At 39.4% G+C, this 8,810-nt stretch overlaps 1 long non-coding RNA gene across 1 annotated transcript in view; it reads right to left on the bottom strand.

Moving 5' to 3' along the window:
* LOC105378198 (uncharacterized) overlaps nt 2,747–8,810 on the bottom strand; it is a 46,805-nt gene continuing 40,741 nt past the window's right edge. The window contains exon 4 of the long non-coding RNA XR_001742904.2: nt 2,747–2,869. This is a non-coding gene — a long non-coding RNA (uncharacterized LOC105378198). The remainder of the gene's footprint in view (nt 2,870–8,810) is intronic.

Genomic DNA, 8,810 nt, shown 5'->3' with positions numbered 1-8,810 from the left:
AGTGCTGGGATTACAGGCAATAGCCACTGCCCCCAGCCTCTGGTGGTATTTTTAAGGTGATAGATAATCTTAATCTAAAACTTTAAAAGAAGCATAAAGATCGTAGGTATTTTAATCTCTTTGAAGCAATTGTGAATGGGAGTTCACTCATGATTTGGCTCTCTATTTGTCTGTTATTGGTGTATAGGAATGCTTGTGATTTTTGCACATTGATTTTGTGTCCTGAGACTTCGCTGAAGTTGCTTATCAGCTTAAGGAGATTTTGGGCTGAAATGATGGGGTTTTCTAAATATACAATCATGTCATCTGCAAACAGGGACAATTTGACTCCTCTTTTCCTAATTCAATACATTTTATTTCTTTCTCCTGCCTGATTGCCCTGGCCAGAACTTCCAACACTATGTTGAATATGATTGGTGAGAGAGGGCATCCCTGTCTTGTGCCAGTTTTCAAAGGGAACGCTTCCAGTTTTTGCCCATTCAGTATGATATTGGCTGTGGGTTTCTCATAAATAGCTCTTATTATTTTGAGATACGTCCCAACAAGACCTAGTTTATTGAGAGTTTTTAACTTGCAAGAGATGTGAAGGACTTCTTCAAGGAGAACTACAAACCACTGCTCAACGAAATAAAAGAGGACACAACCAAATGGAAGAACATTCGATGCTCATGGATAGGAAGAATTAATATCGTGAACATGGCCACACTGCCCAAGGTAATTTATAGATTCAATGCCATCCCCAACAAGCTACCAATGACTTTCTTCACAGAATTGGAAAAAACTACTTTTAAGTTCATATGGAACCAAGAAAGAGCTCGCATTGCCAAGACAATCCTAAGCCAAAAGAATAAAGCTGGAGGCATTATGCTACCTGACTTCAAACTATACTACAAGGCTACAGTAACCAAAACAGTATGGTACTGGTACAAAAACAGAGATATAGACCAATGGAACAGAACAGAGCCCTCAGAAATAATACCATGCATCTACAACCATCTGATCTTTGACAAACCTGACAAAAACAAGAAACGGGGAAAGGATTCCCTATTTAATACATGGTGCTGGGAAAACTGGCTAGCCATATGTAGAAAGCTGAAACTGGATTCCTTCCTTACACCTTATACAAAAATTAATTCAAGATGGATTAAAGACTTAAATGTTAGACCTAAAACCATAAAAACCCTAGAAGAAAACCTAGGCACTACCATTCAGGACATAGGCATGGGCAAGGACTTCATGTCTAAAACACCAAAAGCAATGGCAACAAAAGCCAAAATTGACAAATGGGATCTAATTAAACTAAAGAGCTTCTGCACAGCAAAAGAAACTACCATCAGAGGGAACAGCCAACCTACAGAATGGGAGAAAATTTTTGCAATCTACTCATCTGACAAAGGGCTAATATCCAGAATCTACAAAGAACTCAAACAAATTTACAAGAAAAAAACAAACAACCCCATCAAAAAGTGGGCAAAGGATATGAACAGACACTTCTCAAGAGAAGACATTTATGCAGCCAACAGACACATGAAAAAATGCTCATCATCACTGGCCATCAGAGAAATGCAAATCAAAACCACAATGAGATACCATCTCACACCAGTTAGAATGGCGATCATTAAAAAGTCAGGAAACAACAGGTGCTGGAGAGGATGTGGAGAAATAGGAACACTTTTACACTGTTGGTGGGACTCTAAACTAGTTCAACCATGGTGGAAGACAGTGTGGCGATTCCTCAAGGATCTAGAACTAGGAATACCATTTGACCCAGCCATCCCATTACTGGGTATATACCCAAAGGATTATAAATCATGCTGCTGTAAAGACACATGAACACGTATGTTTATTGCGGCACTATTCACAATAGCAAAGACTTGGAACCAACCCAAATGCCCATCAGTGATAGACTGGACTAAGAAAATGTGGCACATATACACCATGGAAGACTATGCAGCCATAAAAAAGGATGAGTTCGTGTCCTTTGTAGGGACATGGATGAAGCTGGAAACCATCATTCTGAGCAAACTATCACAAGGACAGAAAACCAACACCGCATGTTCTCACTCATAGGTGGGAATTGAACAATGAGAACACTTGGACACAGGAAGGGGAACATCACACACTGGGGCCTGTTGTGGGGTGGGGGGAGGCGGGAGGGATAGCATTAGGAGATACACCTAATGTAAATGACGAGTTAACGGATGCAGCACACCAACATGGCACATGTGTACATATGTAACAAACCTGCACGTTGTGCACATGTACCCTAGAACGTAAAGTATAATAAAAAAAAGAAGCATAAAGATCAATAAATTTTATGTCAGCATTACAAATGAAGTGGAAAGATGGAAGATTCGGCCAATTAGGTATTACCATAAAATATATATATGGGGTGTGTGTGTGTGTGTGTGTGTGTGTGGTATGTGTGTGTATACACCATAATAATCAAAGGTGGACTCCAAGTAGATTAAACACAATATGGAGGTAAAGCAATAATGTTGATAGAAGGAAATATAGGGTGATACCTTTAAAACATAGGGGCAAGAAAGGACTTTTAAAATGAAACTTCAAACATAAGGCAAAAACAAATACATAAATCTCATTATAATTGTGTATTCAAGAGTATGTATTAAGCACTTCTTATGTGCTAGGCACTAAGGCTGTATATTAATAGTACATATAGATTATAAATACCACTCGTCACTAAAAGGAAACAGGGCTTTTGGGAGAAATTACTCACCTCAGGATAGTGGTGACAAAAGTGCAAGAAGAAACGAATATCTGTTTTTTCTTCAGAAAGTAAGAAACTGCTCAAAAATTATGGGAATACTTGTAAAAACACCACAGGAAACATGTGAAGGGTCTCCCACTGGAAAAATATGATACAGTTTGAATACCACAGTGAATAATGACAGTAATGCATTATAACAAAATGCATAAAACAGAATCCATATAATAATGACTAATAATGGATACTAATGAATACATTAATATGAACAGATGTAAATATGGCTTAAACAGGGGTAGGGGAAATGGGAACATTTTTTACAGAAGAATGCCAATTAATACATGTAGAATAAATGACCATTTGAAAGTTACTATTTTTTAATCATCATAGGAATAATTGATTCAGACAAGAATCTTCAACAAATACTAAAACATTGGGGTAAAAGCTTATTGGTGATTAGTTTCAATGTATCTCCCTACAAATTAGTTATTAATTACAAGGAAAAAATGGTATATTTGCAGTTGAGAAACTTGGTGAACATAACACTAATCAAGTTACATCACCAATAATGAGACAAACTGACATTATGTATCTTCCAATGTGCTATACTGAGAAGTCATAATATTAATTTCTGCTGCGATTATAAGGAAATAATCAGACAAGCTAAAACTCAGGATCGTTCTATAAAACTATTGGTTTTTGTACCCTTTAAAATTTGTTAATATCTTCAAAAATAAAGAAAAGCTAAGAACCATTTCAGATTAAATAGGGCTAAACAGACCTAGGAACTAAGTGCAATGTGTGATTCTAAGTCAGAGAAAAAAATTCCATCAAATATATTATTTGGAAAATCTGTGAAACTTTAATATGGGCAGCATATTAGATAGTCAAATTATAATAAGATTAAATATTCTAATTTAATCATCATGCTGCCATTTTGAGGTGTATATTCTTGTTCTTGAGAGTTACATGCTGAAGTGTTTCAATATGAGGTAAAAGGATTTAATAGCTGTAAAATTCTTTTAACATTGTAAAAAGCATTTAACAATTAACATTTTACCATACACAGTCTTTCTCTGTGTGTGAGTGTGTGTGTGTATCTATAGATAGATATAAATAGATACAGATCTATTCCATATATCTCCAAATGAATATACATAGTGAGAGAGAGAAAGAATGTGGCAAATGGTAGCTTAGATTCACCAACTATATAAACGTTCATTGTCCTGTTTTTGTAAGTTTTCCATGGGTTTGATATTTTTCAACATTTGAAAAAATATTCATAATCTGATTATTTTATTTTCCCCACCGCTGCCACCCTGGTCAAAATTATTATAACCTTTCATTGAGGTCACTGAAATAGCTCTTATTGTATCCTCCTGCTTTTACCCTTTCCTCCTACATCATATTTCTAATATGGCAGCCAGAGTAATCCTTTAGCCACATCACTCCTGTGCCAAAAAGAGTAGCTCTAGCTTCCTATTTCCCTCAGGAAAGCAAAGACTTACAGTGACAAAGAAAACCCAAGTTATCTGTTTCTTTTATTACCACCTTGGCCTCATTTCCTCCTAATAATTATTATCTCTCTGATCCAAGCACACAGACGTCTCTGCTACTCCTTGAACACAATAAGCATTCTTCTTCCTTAGGGCATTTGCTGTAGTTTTTCCCTCTGCCTTAAATGTTTTACCCCAAGAAAACAGCTTGGCTAACTCCCTCACATCCTTCAAGTTAGATATAATTTCTTAATGAAGTCTATCCTGATTATTCTATATAGCTCTTTAATATTGTGACATTCATCCCATCTCTCACAGATTTCTGATTCTCTTAATCTGTTCTACTCTTTCATTATGCCAAAGCACATTTTATCTTCACCTTAATGAATATAATTTCATGCCACTGCACTTCAGCCTGGGCGACAGAGCAAGACTCTGTCTCAAAAAAAAAAAAAAAAAAGAATTTCCATGCAAATGGAGACTGTAAGAGAGCAAGAATAGCTGTACTTACATCAGATAAAATAAACTTTAAGTCAAAAACTCTAAAAAGAGACAATGAAAGTCATTATATAATAATAAAAGTTCAATTCAGCAAGAGGATATAACAATTGTAAATACAAAAGCATCCAATATTGGAACACCTAAATATATAAAGCGAATATTAATAGATCTAAAGGGAGAACAAGACTGCAATACAATGATATTAGGGGGATTTGCTATCCATTTTCAGCAATGGACAGGTCATCCAGACAGAAAATCAACAAAGAAACTTCAGATTTAAACTGCACTGTAGACCAAATGGACCTAGCAGACATTTACAGAACATTCCATCCAACAGCTGCAGAATACACATTCTTCTCAACTGTACATAAAATATTTAACAGAATAGATAATATGTTAGGCCACAAAACAAGCCTTGACAAATTTTAGATTGAAATCATATCAATTGTCTCTTCTGACCACAATGATATAAAACTAAAAATCAATAACAGAAGGAACTTCAGAAACTTTATACATTCATAGAGAGTAAATATGCTCCTGAAAAACCAATGAGTCAATGAAGAAATTAAAAGACATTTAAATATCCCTTTTGGACAAATAGAAATGGAAACACAATGCACCAAAACTTATGGGATACAGCAAAAGCAGTTCTCAGAGAAAAGTTTATAGCTATAAACACCTACATTCAAAAAGAAGAAAGGTTTCAAATAAAGAATCCAACATTATACCTCAAGGAACTGGAAATACAAGAACAAACTAAATCTAAAATTAGGAGAAGGAAGTAATAAAGGTCATAATTTAGGTGAGATGAGGTGGCTCACGCCTGTAATCCCAGCACTTTGGGAGGCTGAGGTATATGGATGACTTGAGCACAGGAGTTCAAGACCAGCCTGGGCAACATGGTGAAACACCATCTCTTCCAAAAATGAAAAAAAAAAATAGCCAGGCGTGGTGGCAGGTGCCTGTGGTTTCAGCTGCTCAAGAGGCTGAGGTGGGAGGAACTCTTGAGCCTGGGTAGTAGACGTTGCAGTGAGCCAACATCACACCACTGCATTCCAGCCTGGGTGACAGAGTGAGGCCTCGTCTAAAAAATATCAGCATATAAATAAATGAAATAGAGGCTTGAAAAAAATACAAAAGAGCAACAAAATTAAGAGTTGGTGTTTTGAGAAAAAATAAAACCAGCCAACAGTTAGCTAAACTACCTAAGGAAAATAGAGAGAAGACAAACAAAACAATAATGAAAAAGGAGACATTATAACTGATACCACAGAAATAAAAAGGATCATAAGACATTATTATACAATTTTACACCAACAAATGGAATAACCTAGAAGAAACAGATAAATTCCTGGACACATACAACCTACTAAGATTGAATTATGAAGTTATAAAAAAATTTCAAGAGACCAATAATGAGTAAGGACATCGAATCAGTAATAAAAAGTCTCCCATCAAAGAAAAGCCCAATACCTGGTAGTTTCACTACTGAATTCTACCAACATTTAAAGAAGAATAAAAACCGGGCGCGGCGGCTCATGCCTGTAATCCCAGCACTTTGGGAGTCCAAGGCGGGTGGATCACGAGGTCAGGAAATCGAGACCATCCTGGCTAACACGGTGAGATCCCGTCTCTACTAAAAATACAAAAAATTAGCCGGGCGTGATGGCGGGCGCCTGTAGTCCCCGCTACTCGGGAGGCTGAGGCAGGAGAACGGCGTGAACCTGGGAGGCTGAGCTTGCAGTGAGCCGAGATCGCACCACTGCACTCCAGCCTGGGAGATAGTGCAAGACTCTGTCCCAAAAAAAAAAAAAAAAAAAAAGAAGAAGAATACCAATTATTCTCAAAATATTTCAAAATACTAAAGAGGAGAGAATACATTCAAACTCATTCTGCGAGGCCAGCATTACTCCGATATCAAACCTGAAAAAAAGCCCCCAATTACTCCAGGGGAAGGAGCAAGTTGAACTGGAAAGGAGCAACCTGCCCTCACCACATGCCTCTGGAATCTGGGCAGGAGGAGACCCCTCAACCACCATGGACACTTGAGTTGGCAGGGAGAGCTGCTTAGAGAAGTGGTAGGGGAAGCACTCCAGCTGGTGCAGAGCCCAGAGGGTTTGTTGTGGTAATGTCTGTAGTGAAGCATAATCAGGGATGCCCATCCCCCTAGGCTTGATTTGCTCCCATAAGAGACTTTAGCCCTAGGGGAACTGTTGGACATGAGCTCTCAGGGCAGTCTTGCCCACCAAATGAGGCCAGTCTGACGTGAGCACCCCTTTGCCTGCTGACCTCTCGCAGGGCCCCAGCCTGGCTGCACCTGCTTGCAATGCAGCCTCGAGTGCCCTCGGGGGGCTGCATCATAGCTCCTGCGCTGGCAGACTGCACCAGCCCACCCACTCCCTCCCCTCACTCCAGGCCCACAACCACCCCTATATTGCTGGAGTATATGTGCATGGGTGGATTTTACCTTCCCTGTCCTACCAGCATGTGTGTGCCCATGAACCCTCTGCTGCCACTGCTGCTGGGGTAAGTGCAGTCCACTCCACCACCTCCCCCATCATACTTCCACTGTAGTCAGAGTGCAGCCCAGCCACCACCAGCACCCTGCCCCAGCACCAACATTGTCACCAGAGTGAAACTAGGCAGAGAAGAGTGGACCCTCCACTGCCCTAAGTGACCACCTCCACCTACATGAAAACACACAGAAGGTGCACACAGTCCTGCACCTGCCAGCACCTTGCCCCCATGCTAACACCACCACCAGCAAACCACACACGCAGTCAGTCACCAGCAGGGACCCCAACCCCTGAGCCATGCTGTCTCTGCCACTGTTATGAATGCCCGAACACCCATGAGCACCAGGCTACAGCCAATAAGCATGTACCCTGCCATGCTGCTTCTGGCACATGCAAATGAGGATGGACCCCGCTGCCACTGCCTTATGAAATGCTTTGACTGTCACCACCTGTAGGAATGCTGAAACCAAAGATGCAGGAGCACCTCAGTCTACCCAGTGCAGTGAGTTCCTAACCTCAAGGAGCCAGAAAACAAAGTTGGGGTCCAGTATTGGTCCCCTAGAGTTAGAGCACGTAGTCCAGGAGTTGTGAGCTGAGCCTTGGCCCCCTGAAATCTTCCAGAGACAAAGCCGGTCAACTGAACCCACCTTATACCACAATCAAACCCTTGAGGTCATCAAATGGGATAAAAGAAAAAACCCATCAAAGGACAGCAACTTCAAAGATTGAAGAAACATCAGCCCACAAAGATGAGAAAGAACCAGCACAAGATCTGACAACTCAACAAGTGAGAATGCCTTTATTCCTCCAAACGACTGCACTAACTCTCCAGCAAGAGTTCTGAAAGAGGCTGAAATGACTGAAATGATGGAAACAGAATTCAGAATACGGATAGGAATGAAGATAATCAAGATGCAGGACTACATTGAAACACAATCCACAGAAGCTAAGAATCACAATAAAACAATGCAGAAGCTGCCAGACAAAATAGCCAGTATAGAAAAGAACATAACCAACATGACAGCTAAAAAAACACACTATAAGAATTTAAAAAAAAAAAGAATTTCATAGTGCAATTGCAAGTATTAATAGCAGAACAGGCCAAGCTGAGGAAAGAATGTCAGAGCTTAAAGACTAGCTTTCTGAAATAAGACAGTCAGACAGTAATCAATAAAAAAAGAATGAAAAGGAAGACGAAGACCTCTAAGAAATATGGGGTTATGTAAAGAAACCAAAGCTATGATGTATTGGTGTCCCTGAAAGAGATGGGAAGAATGGAACCAACTTGGAAAACATATTTCAGGATATCATCCATGAGAACTTCCCCAACCTAACTAGAGAGGCCAACATTCAAATTCAGGAAATGAGAGAACCCCAATAAAGATAGTTCATAAGAAGATAATCCCCAAAACACATAATCATCATATTCCCCAAGGTTGAAGTGAAAGAAAAGATGTTAAAAGCAGTTAGAGAAAAAGGTCAGGTCACCTACAAAGGGAAGCCCATAAGACTAACAGTGGACCTCTTAGCAGAAACCCTACAAGCCAGAAGAGATTGGGAGCCAATATT

The sequence above is a fragment of the Homo sapiens genome, chromosome 5 (assembly GCF_000001405.40).
Source record: "Homo sapiens chromosome 5, GRCh38.p14 Primary Assembly".
Classification (NCBI taxonomy): Eukaryota; Metazoa; Chordata; class Mammalia; order Primates; family Hominidae; genus Homo; species Homo sapiens.
Note: the sequence above shows the minus strand (reverse complement) of the source record. Positions and strands in the feature narration are given on the sequence as shown.